General features: G+C 35.9%; 1 long non-coding RNA gene across 1 annotated transcript in view; it reads right to left on the reverse strand.

The window, feature by feature from the left end:
* Nucleotides 1-1,973: 1,973 nt before the first annotated feature.
* LOC124901952 (uncharacterized) overlaps nt 1,974-19,615 on the reverse strand; it is a 45,162-nt gene continuing 27,520 nt past the window's right edge. Inside the window, exon 2 of the long non-coding RNA XR_007060932.1 lies at nt 1,974-2,124. This is a non-coding gene — a long non-coding RNA (uncharacterized LOC124901952). The remainder of the gene's footprint in view (nt 2,125-19,615) is intronic.

The following is a 19,615-nucleotide window of genomic DNA, read 5'->3' on the forward strand; positions in this document are numbered from 1 at the left end:
TATATAGACATATATGATATATATGATATCTATCATATATATGATAAATGTATATGATAGATATCTGTCATATATAGGTAGACATATAGATAGTTATATATAGATAGATATATATCTCATATATAGATATATATGATATATGATATATAGATATATGTGATATATAGAGATATGTGATATATATAGATATATGTGATATATATATCTATATATGATATATAATATATGATATAGATATATATGATATATAGATATATATGATATATAGATATATATGATATATAGATATATATGATATGTAGATATATATATGATATATATGATATATATGATATATAGATATATATGATATATAGATATATATCATATATATGGATATATATGATATATAGATATATATCATATATATGGATATATCTGGTATATAGATATATATCATATATATGGATATATCTGGTATATAGATATATATCATATATGGATATATCTGATATATAGATATATATCATATATATGGATATATCTGATATATAGATATATATCATATATATGGATATATCTGATATATAGATATATATCATATATATGGATATATCTGATATATAGATATATATCATATATATGGATATATCTGATATATAGATATATATCATATATATGGATATATCTGATATATAGATATATATCATATATATGATATATCTGATATATAGATATATATCATATATATGATATATCTGATATATAGATATATATCATATATATGATATATCTGATATATAGATATATATCATATATATGGATATATATGTATATGATATATCATATATATGGATATATATGTATATGATACATCATATATATGGATATATATGTATATGATACATCATATATATGGATATATATGATATACATAGATATATATCATATATATGGATATATATGATATATATAGATATATATCATATATATGGATATATATGATATATATAGATATATATCATATATATGGATATATGATATATATCTATATATCATATATATGGATATATGATATATATCTAGATATATATCATATATATGGATATATATCATATATATGGATATATATGATATATATCTAGATATATATCACATATATGGATATATATATATATATAAAACAAAAGTAAAAAAAAAAAAGCAGTACACCAGTATAGGATACTTACCATGAATGGAGTTTGCAGGACTGGCAGTTGCTCTGATGAGTCAGTGAGTGCACGGTGAGTGAATGTGAAGGCCTAGGATATTACTATACATGACTGTAGACTTTATACACACTGTACTCTTAGGCTACACTAAATGTGTTTAAAATTTTTCTTTCTTTAACAAGTTTATCTTAGCTTATCATAACTTTATCTTATAAACGTTTTAATTTTTTAAACTTTTTGATTCTTTTGTAATAACACATCTTAAAACACAAACAGATTGAACAGCTGTACAGAAATTCTTTATATCCTTATTCTATAAGCTTTATTTTTTTATGTTTTAAATTTTTTTGTTAAAAACTAAGATACAAACACACACACTAGCTTAGCCCTATAAGGGTCAGGATAATCAATATCACTGTCTTCCATCTCCACATCTTGTCCCAGTGAAAGGTCCTCAGGGTCTTCAGGGACAATAATATGCATGCAGCTGTCGTCTCCTATGATAACAATGCTTTCTTCTGGAATAACTCCTGAAAGACCTGCCTGAGGCCGTTTTATAGTTAATGTTTTTTAATGAGTAGAAGTACTACACTCTAAAATATGAATAAAATGTGTAGTATGGTAAAATACTGTTGATCCTTGAATAATGCAAGGTTTAGGAGGACCAGCCCCTGTGCCGTTGAAAATCCATATATAACTTTTGGCTACCCCAAACTTAACTACTAATAGCCTATTCTTAACTACAAGTTTTACTGATCAAATAAATAGTCAATTAAGGCATACTTTGTTAATTATATACTGTATTCTTACAATAAAGTAAGAGAAAAGAAAATTTTATTAAGAAAATCATAAGGAGGAGAAAATATGTTTGCTATTCATTAAGTGGAAGTGGATCATCATAAAGGTCTTCATCTGCGTCTTCATGTTGAGCAGCCTGAGGAGGAGTAAGAAGAAGAGGAATTGGTCTTGTTGTCTGAGGGATGGGAGAAGCAGAAGGAAATTTGCATATAAGTGGACTCATGCATTTCAAATCTATGCTGTTCAAGGATCAACTGTACATAAACTAGTAACGTAGTCATTTATTATCGTTATCAAGTATGACATACAGAACATAAGTATATGTGCTAACCTTTAATGCCACTGACAAATGTAGTGGGTTTGCTTATACCAGCATCACCACAAACACATGAGTAATGCATTGTGCTATAATGTTATCATGGCCACAGTGTTACTAGATGGTAGGAATATTTCAGCTCTGTTATCTTAAGCGACCACCTTTGTATGCAGTCTAGCATTTACCAAAAAACCATTATGTGACACATGACCATATTGGGGGCTTTTAGTGTCCCCTGTGCCCTGGATCCTTCTATTCAAAATGTGAACTCATGCATGGTTTAAAATTTGTGATGTTGTGCAGCGGATACATGGAGAATTGATATATTATTCTCGTTACTTTTGAATAGTTTGATGTTTTTAAAAATAAAAAGTCAGAAGAGTTTAGGTTTTTGGGGGTCAAATGATAATGAAATTTTTACCGGATTGTCTCACAGTTGGCTCAGTGATCCTCTGGGTCCATTCGATAGCTAAACAGACATGCTTGGAAACTGACAAATTTCCCACATTGGTTCACTTACCTACCTGGTGTACTCATGGTTTTACGAGAAGCGGACCCTGATTCATGAGTAGCTGCTAATAGTTTGGCTAGATGATCACGGAATTGAAAGGAAGAATATTAAAAGATGGATGATGAGAGGATGACTTCTTAAAATAGACACAAAGTATGAAAATACTTGTATCCCAAGAAAAATCTCATTAGAGGGAATCCACTGAAGAGGAGTAATCATATGCATAAAATGACATGTTGTATAATAAATGTTAGTCACCTGACACTTGTTCAATGGGCTCATGGACAAATGCACATGACATTAAGAATAAAATGTATTCATGACTTTACATAATCAAATTGTATCTGGACCAATGTAGAACAACTCTAAGGCTAATATGACAACCTTCCCTCAGGGGATACCCAGTCAACTTGCAGATTGATGACACTGAGATGCATCCCTTAGGGAATTTGTCCTCATTGAAATAGATACTTATTTCGGGTACCAATTCACCTTTTACATTTGTAATTATTCTGCTGGTACTACCATGCATGAACTTAAATAATTTGTTATTTACCATCATGATATCCCATACAATATTGTTTTTGACTAAGGAACTCATTTTGCTGCCAAAAAAGACATGTGGTAATAGGCTCACGTTTATGCAATTCATTGGATTTACAACAATTGGATTCTTCACCTAGAAGAATCTGAAATGATAGAATGGAATCATGTAACTCAGTTAATGCTCCCAGCTGGTAAACAACACACCGTAAGGTTGGGATGTTGTCCTACAGTGTGTGGTATAAACTTTGAATCAGTGACCAACGTGTAATTTCTCTTACAACAAAAACACATGAATCTGAAAATCAAGGGGAGGGAGCACCCTGCACTATTATGCTTAATTTGCACTTGCAGACTTTCTCTTCCCTTTTGTGAAACTTTGGGTTCTCCCCGTTTAGAGATATTAATTCCCAAGGGAGGAAACTTCTTTAGATGACAGGTTCCATTAAGTGGAAGTTGAAATACCACTTGGGCATATTTAGTTCTTCTTGAAACTAAAGGTAAAGAAAACAGTAAATCTATTGACACGTAATTGATCTAGAGATAACCAAGGTGAAATTGGGTTTCTCTATTCAATAGGGGCAGGAAGGACTATGTATGGAACACAGGATTATCTCATTAATTCCATGTGTAAGTAGTACATGAAAGAAACAAGCAATTGTTGTGCTGTTCACTGTGCAAAAGTATCCCTTCTTCCTAACGCGGGAGGACTGCTTTTGCAAATATGTCTGTGCTATTTTTCACTGGTCCTGACTCTTCTGTTCTTGGAAACAAACTCAGTCCATGGCAGATCCCACTACTACATGAATTTCTTTATTAGTCCTGTTGCAAAAAGGAAATTTTGTATTAGCACCTCAGGGGCTTTCTTTAATTTTGCAAAAGTATATCATCCTAATTTAATATTTTTTTAATTAAGATCTGGCAATGAGCAACCTCGCTCTGCTTCCTATCACACCCAGCTTACTCACAACTGCTTCAGGTGGCCTCCTCGTATTTTTAGGCTCAGAATTATGGCTGACCTCTGGTTTAATCAAACATAATTTACTTTGGTTTCTCATTTTCTTTATTGCTTCTATCTTCAAATTAGAAATCCTAGAATTTATTAAATTTATTTTTATGTTTATTTTTGAAACAGCATTCTTCTCTGTCACCCAGGCTGGAGTAGAGTGGCATGATGACTGTTCATTGTAGCCTTGACCTCCTGGGCTCAAGTGATTCTCCTGTCTCAGTCTCCCGAATAGCTGGGACTACTGGCTTTCACCACCACACCCAGCAAATTATTTTGTATTTTCTGTAGAGATGGGGTCTCCCTGTGTTGCGCAGGCTGGTCTCAAACTCCTGGGCTCAAGTCATCTACCTGCCCTGGCCTCCCAAAATACTGGGACTACATGTGTGAGTCACCACGCCCAGTCTAGTTCATTAGATTTAAATTGATGTTAGCACTGGTATCCTTTTTTTATTTTCCAATTGTTTTATGATGTATAAAAGAATGAAAAATTGCTTGAATTACCTATAGAATAAAAGAGAAAATAAATGTTTGTTCTCAGTGGCAGCATTCTAAAATGAAAATGGGCTGGGCTTTACTATCACCAGATCTTGGTTTCAATTACTTTTATTCTATTTATTAGATGTTTGATACTTAATAAGTTATTTATTCACCATTGGACTTCCTCTCTTTATCTGGGATTCTTGGAGGGTTTCATTAGGATAAAAGTATTTGGAAGAGAAATGTCTGGTATGTGAGTCACTTGAATGTTAGTTCCCTTCCTTGTTTAAAGGAGTACGAGTTAACTCTTATCTACAAAAGGAGAAAAGAGGGAGAAGGAGGAGGTGAAATGTTTTTATGGACACCAGCTTGGTAAATCTAGATATTAATATTACTAACTGATATTCATGACACCATATTATATTAGAATATCCTAGAGGCTGACCAAAGGTCTTACGGTAGAAGAACAAAAACAAACTATAAAACACAAAAATTCAAGATCATTCTCTAGAACGCTAATTATGAAACAAACTATTAAACAGAGGTGGCTAAATAATTGCTCCAAAGATAAATATGACTCATTTGTTTTGCTGACCCACACAGTGCTTTAATTTCTTAAATTAATTAAATTGTGGAAAAAATGGAAGTTACCACATAAAAATCCAATTTTCAGCCTTCTCTTGATAAACTCCAGAGTTTCAGTTCCCATGCAAAGCAACAATTAGCTGAAGCTGAGTATTGGTCACTTGTTTTAATCAACACTCTCCCCTCCATTCACAACATCCCCACCCAGCCTGCTGCCCCTGATCACACCTCCTGCCTGGCCATGAAAGCATTTCTATTTGCCACGCCTACTGTAAATGGTCAGTGAGCACAGCAGAATTTCAGGAACATTATTTATTTTCTTTACTTCCCTAAACAAGATATATTTCAAAAGTTATGTAAAGATAATAGGCTTAAATTTGAATAGTCATATTTAGAGCCACCTGTAGCTATTGCATTACAAATAAATAAGTTGATCAAATAAATATAGTATTAAAACTGTTTGTTTGGAAACTTCTGGAATAGCAGATTTTTTTAAAAAAGCTTCAAGTTGAAGATGACATTATTTGTGCCAGATTCTCAAGTCTTCGTAGCTTCAGATATTTTTTTCTATGTATATGAATCCTTTGAAGGCGATCAGGGCTGACTGCCGAGGACTCTTTGTGCAATCCAATCAGGCTAATTTCAATTTTAAGTGCAAGAGACAGGCATGCTTTTCATTGTCTCCTTTGTGAAGCTGTGATGGATTGGCTAGGGTTGAGTTAGTAAGATTTCTAACTGCTTAGAAATTTGGCAAATGCTTAGAACAAATGCTGTCTTAAGCAGACTGTTAACTAATAAATAGACCTCAAGTCTGAAAATCTCCCACTTGCTGGTTTATTTTAAGAGCAGGGAAAAGCCCCGCTAAAACACAGAATACATTTTCACTTTGCAGTTTTGTCTGAAAAGCTACCAATATTTACATTCCCACATGATTCAAATAAGAAGTGAAAGTAAGGAATCCCTGTCTGTAATAACATAGACTTGTAAGAACAAGAACTGGTAAGAAAAAGTACAAGTTTCTTAAAATATATTGTCTAAACATACTCCCATTTTCACCTCATCTATTTAAAATTACTTTACATAAATCTCCTTTTAAAAATATGTATAGAATACAATGACATAAAATATTAAACAATTTAGGTTATTTTAGTTAACTAATAATGAAATACAATTATTTTTAAATGATTATCATATGTGTGTTCATATGTGTGTGTAAATATAAATATATCAAATCATAATTTGAAAATAAGCATTAGCTATATGAGATTTAGGAAAAACTGAAATGTTTCCTAATAATATTCTTTAGTTTACTTTTTATTACTTGTATTCTCCAAAAAGAAAAAGTATAAAGTAAAAGATAATGAACAAAAATAAAAAATATGTAAACAAATTTAATATCAATTTTCAATTAGAATAAAGAAGATTTTAAAAGTTGTTCTAATAAAAATAACACCTATCTGTTACTGCACATTATCCATGAGTGTGGGGCACCTCTAACTGCTTTACGTTAATTTATTCATTTAATTTTCGTAACACTTACATGTTTTAAATACCTTTAGCATCATCCTCTTTTTACAAAGAAGGACCTGGAAATAACATAAGTTTCTCAAAGCTATCAAGTAAATCCCTGGTAGCTCAAGATTCCAGGCCAAGAAATCTGGGTCTGGAGTTTTTATCACTACATGTTGTTGGCTCTCGTTTGCCAGGTATATATGTTTATGTTTGGATTTATAATCAGACTTTGCTAATGCTTTCTCCATTAGAAAGGACATGAGCCATGTTATTTGGGGGCTCAGGGCACATTAATTCTGTCTAATTTTGTCTAATTCAGTTTCCCCATGCCACCTTCAGTGTGTTTGAAGTGCTCTGTGAACTTTCTGACATGAAAGAGGAGTTCGATGAAGCCTGGGGAGAGAAGGAGCAGTTGCATAAGATTTCACAGAGGAGCTGTCATTTCAGTTGAGCCTTGAATTGGATTGAGAACTCCCCAGATAGAGTTAGAGAGGACACATAAATTGTGCCCATATGGAACTTGGCTGTGGAGAGGGGAGTGTTGTTGGAAATTTACTCTTGCCAGAAAAAATAGGAGATGAAGATAAATGGTAAAGGACTTTGTAAATCCTGCTTAGGGCCTCACGTCACACCTGGATCACAGCTCACCAAGCTGGAATACAGGGCTTGCCAAAAATCTTTCTGGATGCTATGGGCCACTTATTATGCCTCAAAGGGGGAAGTCTTGGATAGACCAGACTCTGATAACACCTGAGACTTTCAGTCAATTCTAGCATTAAATGACATTTATATCAAATGTAGGAAACCTTTCCTAGGCTAGTAAATTCCTTCTATTCTTCTCTTGGGAATCACTGGGCCCAGTCTCAAAGTCAGGCCTCTCTGGTGACTTCTGTGGCTCCGCTCCTCCACCTCTGCACTCATCCTCACCTACGGGTTCATCTTTCTCCTCACCCCTTACATTGTGCCCAGTGGAATTAAGCGTTACCTTGAACAAGTTCTTCACACATTTTTATCATCCTTCCATATTCTAGAACTACCAAGAGGAAAAAGATGTCCTGGAAAGCAGGAGATGCTATTTTTATTTTTCTAGTGTTTTTTCCTATTCTGAACCCAGAGCCATCTATGCTGCATATTTCCCAATGTTTACTGTTCCATTGTTAAACAAAAATGTACTGAAGCCCAGGGCATCCAGCTATAATACACCTGTCTGCCCACCTCTATGTGATATTCACTTTCTGGGTCACTCTTCTGCATTTAGGAAGAATTTGGAGGCCTGGTTCATAGATTTATCCCCCATCCCAATTCCTGACATTTTTAAAGGAAGTAGAATTATTTGACCATTTGATTTCTAATGATTTTCACTTTCATTCAGTTTAAGCCACTCACTCCCAATGATTGCAACTTGGACTTTTGCATCAGCCAGAACCATGCATCTGTGAAATCTCAAACTCCTATAGGCCACTCTTCAAATCTAGTGCCTGCTAGAAATCAACTTTGTCTATTAGACTATAGACTAGTCTTCCTCAGATTTTGATAGTGACCTTTATGTGTCATTTTATGCTGCCACCACATACCTCCTTTCTGAGCATCTCCTCCTATTGTCTCCCTGACTCCATTTATCGAGGATGGTTGATTTTTGTTGCCTATATAGATGACAGCAGGCAGAGATGGGGTTTCATAAGGCAAGCACTAATAGAATTTGCACACCAGAGGATAACTACTCAATAAATTTACTGATAGAAAAATGTCCTATGATGGAGTCTTTATTAAGCTTATATGTGAGCAAAAACAGGTGAAATCCTAGGGTTCTACTCTAGTTAGACTAAATGTTTATTCAAAGATAGGTTTATTTTGGCTTAATAGCCAACTGAACATGAAGAAACAATTGAATTGTCTATATAATTCAATGTAATCTCTTTGTATGCCCACCTGAAAGAAGCTTAACCTTGACCTAAGGTTTCTGTGTCTTAATGCAGTTTTCTGGGTATGTCATATGAATTATATAGCATGTTGTTATAATGCATATGGAAACACATACACACAGTCTAGTTTCACTAGTCATGGTAGTTATGTTCTAGAAAATCAATGGTTACCTCACGGCTTGCATAAAATATCTTGCAGTTATAACTTTTTATTTTAAGTCAGCTTCATAGCATACAAAAACTTTACAATGTTACTCTCCTCTGTAGCTTTATATTCTTATAGTCTGCGTTTAGTTCTTTATATATGGCACATACATTAACAATTTTTTGTGGTTATTGCTATTCTTAATAGTTTTGTCTTTTAACTTTTATATTAAGGTGGCACAAGATAAGGGTGCCCACCCTTGCCACTTCAATTCAGCATAGTACTAAAAGCCCTACTCAGAAAACTTAGCAATAAAAAGACATAAAACACATCCACTTCAGAAAGGAAAGAGTAAAATTATCTCTGCTTGCAAATCACATAAACATATATGCAAGAAACCCTAAAGACTCAACAATAAAAAGACTATTAGAACAAATAAACAAATTTAGTAAAGTTGCAGGACACAAAAATTAACATAAAATAATTAATGTTTCTTTGTACAAACAACAAGCCATCCAAAAATAAAGTTAAGAAAATAATCCTATTTAAAATTGCAATGAAAGAAAAATAAAGACTTAGGAATAAACTTAAAGAAGCAAAAGCCTTGTGTGGTAAAAATTATAAAATATTGATGAAATAAATCAAAGAAGACACAGATAAATAGAACTATATCTGTGTTCCTGGATTATTGAAATTATTATTAGACTTATTGTTGAAATGTCTGTACTACCCAAAGTTACTTACAGATTCAATGTAATCCCTATCAAAATCCTGATGGGATTCTTTACAGAAATGGAAAAAAAATCTCAAAATTCATACAGAACCACAAAATCCTAAGTAACCAAAGAAATCTCGAGCAAGAAGAATAAGGCTGTAGGCATCACACATCCTGATTCCAAAGTGGATTATGAAGCTATTGTAATCAAAACAGAGTGATACTGGCATAAAAATACATGTATAGAACAATGGAATAGGATAGAAAACACAGAAATAAATACTGCCAACTGATTTTCAAAAAACAGTGCCAAGAATACACAATAGGGCAAAGATAATCTCTTCAATAAATGGTATTGGGAAAACTGGATACTCACATGCAGAAGAATGAAATTGTGTCCTAATACAAAAAAGTGGATTAAAGACTTAAATGTTAACACCTGAAGCCAAATAACCATGGGAAGAAATCAAGGGGAAAGAGCTTCTTAATATCGGTCTGGGCAATAATTCTTTGCCTATAATCCCAAAAGCACAGGCAACAAAGGCAAAAGCAAAAATAGTCAAGTGAGGTTTGCATTGAATTAAAAACCTTCTGCACAGTGATGGAAATAATCAACAGAGTGAAAAGTTAACCTATGGAATGGGAGAAAATATTTGCAAACAATAATTCTGATAAAGGGTTAATATCCAACACATATAAGAAACTCATACAAGTTGAAGGCCAAAAATTTAATAACCCTATTAAATAATGGACAAAGAACCTGAGTAGAGATTTCTCAAAAGAAGACATAAGATAGGCAACAGATATATGAAAAAGTGCTCAACATCACGAATCATCAGGAAAATGTTTATATGGTACATACTTTAACAAATTGTAGTGGTTATTGCTATTCTTAATAGTTTTCCAATAGCAGATCCAAGCTATTATTAGTTATCACATCACATCCTTTAGAATGCCTATAATCAAAAAGACAAAAGATAACAAGTATAAGTGAGGATATGGGAAAAAAAGGGAACCCTTGTACTCTGTTAGTGGGAATGTAAATTGGTACAGATATTATAGAAAACATGGAGGTTCCTCAAAAAATTAAAAATAAAACTACCATATTATTCAGCAATTCCACTACAAGGTGTATATCAAAAGGAAATGACATCAATATCTGCACTTCCATGTTCAAGGCAGTATTAATACAACAGCCAAGATAGTAAAATACAAGTTCATAAATAAATGAATGTATAAAGAAAATGTAAATACAACGAAATAGCTTTAAAAAAAGAAGAAAATCCTACCTTTTGGAAAACATGGATAAACCAGAAGGGCATTATGCTCAGTGAAATAAGACTGGTACAGAAAGCCAAATATTGCATGAACTCACTTATAAGTAGAATTTAAATAACTAAAATCTACAGAAGCCGATAGTAAAATAGTGATTTCCAGTATCTGGGAAAAGGGGGAAAATGGGAACATGTTGGTCAGAACATGTTGCATGGAGTGTTTACTTAAGCAAGGTGAATATGTTCGGGAGAGCTAAGGTACAACATGATAACTATAGTTAACAATACTGTGCAGTCTACTTGAAGCATGCTGGGAAGGAATATCTTAAGTGTTTTCACCAACAAAAGAGAAAAGAAGGAAGGAAGGAAGGAAGAAAGGAAGGAAGGAAGGAAATGGTAACTATATGTGGTATTGGATATTTTAATTAGCTTGATTGCAGCAATCATTTTATAATGTATAAGTATTTCAAGACATCAATTTGTAAACCCAAAATATACACAAATTTTATTTGTTAATTAATAAAAAGGCAGAGCAGGTGGCTGGCAAGATGGCCGAATAGGAACAGCTCCATTTGGCAGCTCCCAGAGAGACCAACGGAGAAGGTCTCTCTCTGCATTTCCAACTGAGGTACCCGGCTCATCTCATTGGAACTAGTTAGACAGTGGGTGCAGACCACAGAGGGCGAGCCGAAGCAGGGTGGGGCATTGTCTCACCTGGGAAGCACAAGGAATTGGGGAACCCTGTCCCCTAGCCAAGGGAAACCTTGAGAGAATGTGCTGTGAGAAATGATGCATTCCAGCCCAGATACTACACTTTTTTCACAATCTTCACAACCTGCAGACCAGGAGATTCCCTTGGGTGCCTATGCCACCAGGGCCCTGGGTTTTAAGTACAAAACTGGGCATCTGTTTGGGTAGACACAGAGCTAGCTGCAGGAGTTATTTTTCATACCCCAGTGGCACCTGGAATGCCAGCGAGACAGAACCATACACTCCCCTGGAAAGGGGCTGAAGCCAGGGAATAAGGTGATCCAGCTCAGTGGACCCCACCCACAAGGAGCCCAGCAAGTGAGATCCACTGGCTTGAAATTCTCCCTTCCAGTGCAGCAGTCAGAAGTCAACCTGGGACTGTAAAGCTTGGTGGAGGGAGGGGTGTCCAACGTTACTGAGGCTTGAATGGTGGTTTTACCCTCACAGTGTAAACAAAGCCCCCAGGAAGTTCGAACTGAGTGGAGCCCACCACAGCTAGGCAAAGCTGCTGTAGCCAGACTGTCTCTCTAGATTCCTCCTCTCTGGGCAGGGCACTTCTAAAAGAAAGGCAGCAGCCCCAGTCAGGGGCTTATAGATAAAACTCCCATCGCCCTGGGACAGAGCACCTGGGGGAAGGAGTGACTGTGAGTATAGCTTCAGCCAACTAAAACATTCCTGCCTGCTGGCCCTGAAGAGTGCTATGGATCTCCCAGCACAGAGCTCCAGCTCAGCTAAGGGACAGACTGCCTCCTTAAGTGGTTCAGTGACCCCCATGCCTCCTGACTGAGAGACACCTCCCAGCAGAGGTCAACAGACACCTAATACAGGAGAGCTCTGGCAGGCATCTTGCAGGTGCCCCTGTGGGATGAAACTTCCAGAGGAATGAACAGGCAGCAATCTTTGCTGTTCTATATCCTGTGCTGGTGATACCCAGGCAAACAGGGTCTGGAGTAGACCTACTGAAAACTCCAGCAGACCTACAACAGAAGGGCCTGACTGTTAGAAGGAAAACTAACAAACTGAAAGGAATAGCATCAGCATTAACAAAAATAACACCCACACAGATACCCCATCTGAAAGACACCAACATCAAAGACTGAAGGTAGATAAATCATGAATATAAGGAAAAAACAGCACAAAAGATTGAAAATTACAAAAACCAGAATGCCTCTTCTCCTCCAAAGGATCAAAACACCTCACCAGCAAGAGAACAAAACTGGATGGAGAATGAGTTTGACAAATTGACAGAAGTAGGCTTCAGAAGGTGGTTAATAAGAAACTCCTCCGAGCTAAAGGAGCATGTTCTAACCTAATGCAAGAAAGCTAAGAACCTAGATAAAAGGTAAGAGGAAATGCTAACTAGAATAACCAGTTTAGAGAAGAACATAAATGACCTGATGGAGCTGAAAAACACAGCATGAGAACTTTGTGAACCATACACAAGTATCAATAGCTGAATCGATCAAGCAGAAGAAAGGATATCAGAGATTGAAGATCAACTTAAGGAACTAAATCAAGAAGACAAGATTAGAGAAAAAAGAATGAAAAGGAACCAACAAAGCCTCCAAGAAATATGGGACTATATGAAAAGACCAAATATACATTTGATTGATGTACCTGAAAGTCACAGGGAGAATGGAACCAAGTGGGAAAACACTCCTCAGGATATTATCCAGGAGAACTTCCCCAATCTAGCAAGACAGGCCAACATTCAAATTCAGGAAGTACAGAGAACACCACAAAGATACTCCTCGAGAACAGCAACTCCAAGACACATAATCATCAGATTCACCAAGGTTGAAATGAAGGAAAAAATGTTCAGGGGAGCCAGAGAGAAAGGTAGGGATACCCACAAAGGGAATCCCATCAGACTAACATCAGATATCTCTGCAGAAACTCTACAAGCCAGAAGAGAGTGGGGGCCAATATTCAACATTCTTAAGAAAAAAGAATTTTCAACCCAGAATTTCATATCATCCAGCCAAACTAAGCCTCATAAGCAAAGGAGAAATAAAGTCATTTACAGACAAGCAAATGTTGAGAGATTTTGTCACCACCAGGCCTGCCTTACAAGAGCTCCTGAAGGAAGCACTAAATATGGAATGGAAAAACTGGTACCAGCCACTGCAAAAACATATCAAATTTTAAAAACCCTCAACACTATGAAGAAACTGCGTCAACTAATGGGCAAAATAACCAGCTAGCATCATAATGACAGGATCAAATTCACACATATTATTATTAACCTTAAATGTAAATGGGCTGGCAAATTGGATAAAGAGTCAGGACCTTTTGTGTGCTGTGTTCAGGAGACCCACTTCACATGCAAAGACACACGCAAAATAAAGTAATGAAAGAATTATCCAAAATAAAGTGATGAAGTAATATTTACCAAGCAAATGGAAAGCAAAAAAATAAAAAAAAAAGCAGGGGTTGCAATCCTAGTCTCTGATAAAACAGACTTTAAACCAACAAAGATCAAAAAAAGACAAAGAAGGGCCTTACATAATGTTAAAGAGATCAATGCAACAAGAAGAGCTAACCATCCTAAATATATATGCGCCCAATACAGCAGCACCCAGATTCATAAAGCAAGTTCTTAGAGACTTATAAATAGACTTAGACTCCCACACAATAATAGTGGGAGACTTTAACACCCCACTGTCAATACTAGACAGATCAACAACACAGAAAATTAATAAGGATATTCAGGACTTGGACTCAGCTCTGGACCAAGTGGACCTAATAGACATCTACAGAACTCTCCACCCCAAATCAACAGAATATACATTCTTCTCAGCACCACATCACGCTTATTCTAAAACTGACCACATAATTGGAAGTACAACACTCATCAGCGAATGCAAAAGACTGGAAATCTTAACAAACAGTCTCTCAGACCAAGATGGATTAAAAACTTAGAAAAAATAGAACTCAGGATTAAGAAACTCACTCAAAACTGCATAACTGCATGGAAACTAAACAACCTGTTCCTTAATGACTACTGGGTAAATAACAAAATTAAGGTAGAAATAAAGAAGGTGTTTGAAACCAATAAGAACAAAGACACAATGTACCAGAATCTCTGAGACACAGCTAAAGGAGTATTTAGAGGAAAATTTGTAGCACTAAATGCCCACAGGAAAGGACAGGAATGATCTAAATTTGACAATCTAACATCACAATTAAAAGAACTGGAGAAGCAAGAGCAAACAAATTCAAAATCTAACAGAAGTCAAGAAATGACTAAGATCAGAGCAGAACTGAAGGAGATAGAGACATGAAGTACCCTTCAAAAAATCAATGAATCCAGGAGCTGGGTTTTTGAAAAGATTAACAAAATAGATAGACCACTAGCAATACTAATAAAGAAGAAAAGAGAGAAGAATGAAATAGACACAATAAAAAATGATAAAGGGGATATCACCACTGATCCCACAGACATACAAACTACCATCAGAGAATACTATAAACACCTCTACGCAAATAAACTAAGAAATCTAGAAGCAATGAATAAATTCCTGGACACATACATGCTCCTAAGACTAAACCAGGTGGAAGTCGAATCCCTGAATAGATCAATAACAAGTTCTGAAATTGAGACAGTTACTAATAGTCTACCAACAAAAACAAGCCCAGGACCAGAGGAATTCACAGCTGAATTCTACCACAGGTACAAAGAGGAGCTGGTACCAATCCGTCTTACTATTCCAAACAATAGAAATGGAGGGACTCCTCCCTAACTCATTTTATGAGAGTAGCATCATCCTGATAGAAAAACCTGGCAGAGACACAACAGAAAAAGAAAATTTCAGGCCAATATCCCTGATGAACATTGATGCAAAAATCCTCAACAAAATATTGGCAAACCGAATCCAGCAGCACAGAAAAAAACTTATCCACTATGAACAAGTCGACTTCATCCCTAGGATGCAAAGCTGGTTTAACATACACAAATCAATAAACGTAGTCCATCACATAAACAGTATCAATGACAAAAACCACATGATTATCTCAATAGATGCAGAAAAGGCCTTTGATAAAATTAAACATTCCTTTATGCTAAAAACTCTCGATAAACTAGGTATTGATGGAATCTATCTCAAAATAATATGGGCTATTTATGACAAACCCACAGCCACATCATACTGAACTGGCAAAAGCTAGAAGCATTCCCTTCGAAAACCATCACAAGACAAGCATCCCCTCTCTCACCACTCCTATTCAACATAATATTGGAAATTCTGGCCAGGGCAATCAGGCAAGAGAAAGAAATAAAGGGTATTCAAATAGGAAAGAAGGAAGTCAAATGTCTCTGTTTGCAAATGACATGATTGTATATTTAGAAAACCCCATTGTCTCAGCCCAAAATCTACTTCAGCTGATAAGCAACTTCAGCAATGTCTCAGGATACAAAATCAATGTGTGAAAATCACCAGCATTCCTCTACACAAATAACAGACAAACAGACAGCCAAATCATGAGTGAACTCCCATTCACAATTGCTACAAAGAGAATAAAATGCCTAGGAATACAACTTACAAGGGATGTGAAGGACCTCTTCAAGGAGAACTACAAAGCACTGCTCAAAGAAATAAGAGAGGACGTAAACAAATGGAAGAACTTTCCATGATCATGGATAGGAAGAATCAATATCATGAAAATGGCCATACTGCCCAAAGTAATTCATAGATTAAACATTATCCCTATCAAGCTACCATTGACTTTCGTCACAGAATTAGAAAAAACTACTGCAAATTTCATATGGAACCAAAAAAGAGCCCATATAGCCAAGACAATCCTAAGCAAAAAGAACAAAGCTTGAGGCATCAGGCTACCTGACTTCAATCTATACTCCAATGCTACAGTAACCAAAACAGCATGGTACTGGTACCAAAATAGATACATAGAACGATGGAACAGAACAGAGCGCTCAGAAACAAGGCCACACATCTACAACCATCTGATCTTTGACAAACCTGACAAAAAGAAGAAATGGGGAAAGGATTCCCTATTTAATAAATGGTTTTGGGAGAACTGGCTAGCCATATGCAGACAACTGAAACTGGACCCCTTTTTTACACCTTATACAAAAATTAATACAAGATGGATTAAAAACTTAAACATAAGACCTAGAACCATAAAAACCCTAGTAGAAAACCTAGACAATACCATTCAGGACATGGGCATGGGCAAGGATTTCATGACAAACACCAAAACCAATGGCAACAAAAGCAAAAATTGACAAATAGGATCTAATTAAACTAAAGAGCTTCTGCACAGTGAAAGAAACTATCACCAGAGTAAACAGGAAGCCTACAGAATGGGAGAAAATTTTTGCAATCTATCCGTCTGACAAAGGGCTAATATCCAGAATGTATAAGGAACTTAAACAAATTTACGAGAAAAAAAAACAAACAACCCCATCAAAAAGTGGGCAAAGGATATGAAAAGACACTTCTCAAAAGAAGACATTTATGCCACCAGCAAACATGAAAAAAATCTCGTCATCATTGGTCATTAGAGAAATGCAAATCAAAACCACAATGAGATACCATCTCACGCTAGTTAGAATGGTGACCATTAAAAAGTCAGGAAACAACAGATGCTGGAGAGGATGTGGATAAGTAGGAATGATTTTACACTGTTGGTGGGAGAGTAAATTAGTTCAACCATTGCAGAAGACAGTGTGGTGATTCCTCAAGCATCTAGAACCAGAAATACCATTTGACCCAGCATGACCCTTATTCATAATAAGGATTATGAATCATTCTATTATAAAGACACATGCACACGCATGTTTATTGAAGCACTGTTCACAATACCAAAGCCTTAGAACTAACCCAAATGCTCATCAATGATAGACTGGATGAAGAAAATGTGGCACATATACACCATGGAATACTATGCAGCCATAGAAAAGGATGAGTTCATGTACTTTGCAGGGACATGGATGAAGCTGGAAACCATCATTCTCAGCAAACTAACACAGGAACAGAAAACCAAACTCCGCATGTTCTCCCTCATAAGTGGGAGTTGAACAACGAGAACACATGGACACAGTGATGGGAACATCACACACCTGGGCCTCTCAGGGGTTGGGGGGCTAGAAACAGGATAGCATTAGGAGAAATACCTAATGTACTTGTTGGGTTGATGAGTGCAGCAAACCACTGTGGCACGTGTATACCTATATAACAAACTTGCACATTCTGCACATGTGTCCCAAAACTTAAAGTATAATAATTTAAAAAAGTACTGTGATGGTTGATATTATTAAGTAGTTTTAAAAATTAGAAGTGCCATTCAAGGCCAAATAGTATAGATTTGCTTTGCATTTACTAGATCACAAATGTGCCCTCAGTAAGGCTGTGGTCTCACCTGAATAATGTACAGCTCACTACGGGAGAACACATTTCATTAGACAATGTCCTATGGAAAACCCGTGTGTTTTCCATAGCATGCATATACTGAACAATGGTAAGGAATTGATACATTTTGAAAACAGTTGTAGACCTAGCTCATTTTTTACTTAAAGTCAATTTTAATTGTATTACGTAAATAGTAAAAGACACAGAAATCCAACTTTTGCCTAAAAATAACCCTGAGTACCTGCATACAGATTCTCCAGTGTATAGCCAAATCACTGGTGTTGGGACAAAATGGGAAATACATGGAAGTAATTTTACCAAGCAGCATGTCCAGTCTAGAAAAAGCATCCAACAGGGGTTTATAGATGCCCTTAATATCACACGCATATCTCCTGCCCTTACTATTTCAGTGCACAGAGGTTTAGTTTCCTCCTGCCAGCACCTGTGTTTCTCCTTTAGGGCAGGCTGCAGGTCTGAGGAATTAAAATCTCCCAGGAACAATTCTCAACTTCTGACTTGTCAAGAGCTGTTATGTAAATACCTCTACACCCTTGTCCTTCAGAGAAGATGGCTCTGGGGTGCATATTCTGTACCATTTCCAAAGTTCCCCAGATTTAGTGGAATACTGTGGTATTTTGTTTCATAATCCAACTTTTATTGGCCCTCCCTCTTCCGGCTTTATTTTCTCACTCATCTACTGTGGTTTCAGGGATCATCTTCCAAATAAACTGCTTGCATTTTAATTCTTGTCTCAAGGGTCTGCTTCCCTAAAACCTCACGCTTAAACATGGCTGCACTCTCCTAATCTGTTCATTCTTGGCACCAGGATCTTGAATAAATAATCAATGGGATTCAACCCCATTTTTTATATATGAAAAGAATTTGAAGGAGTCTTTGAATCCTGATTTTATAAATATAGGGGCAAGATTAGAAGATAATGACTGAACTCACAACATAGGGTCAAGCATCAGAGATTCGACACAGTGGGAGTGCCGATGTGTTTCCATTCTCTACTTACTGAAGTAACTAGAAGAATTACCTCTGTTTTGGTCAATTCTGTGTTTCTCTTCTGGTATTGATGGGTTCTACCAAGCCTGCTTCTGGGTTTCCTCTGTCGTTGTTTTCCATGAAGATCCCCAATGAAGTAATCTTGCCCTTGTGTCAAGACCCTTATTATAATTATATGCCAAATATTCCAAGCCTCTGCTTGTGTGTGGCCAAAATCCATATTCAATACAGAGTTAATATCTTGTGTGTTAAGAAAAGGTTTCCTCTGAAAAGGGCTTTCTCTTACCTGCCTCTCACCAGTCCCTATTATCCCTTGTATGGGCTTATTTCTCTATTTGCTAGAGTTCAGCTCTTCTATGAGTCATCATTCTGGAAAGGAAAAGGGAGCCTTTATGTCTCCACTTTCTTTGGCAGGAAGAATAACTTCCAGGTCATATCTTACTTTAAAAAGGAAGCAGAAACATATACCTTGTCTTACTTGTCATGGCT

Source organism: Homo sapiens, chromosome 8, assembly GCF_000001405.40.
Source record: "Homo sapiens chromosome 8, GRCh38.p14 Primary Assembly".
In the NCBI taxonomy this organism is placed as follows: domain Eukaryota; kingdom Metazoa; phylum Chordata; class Mammalia; order Primates; family Hominidae; genus Homo; species Homo sapiens.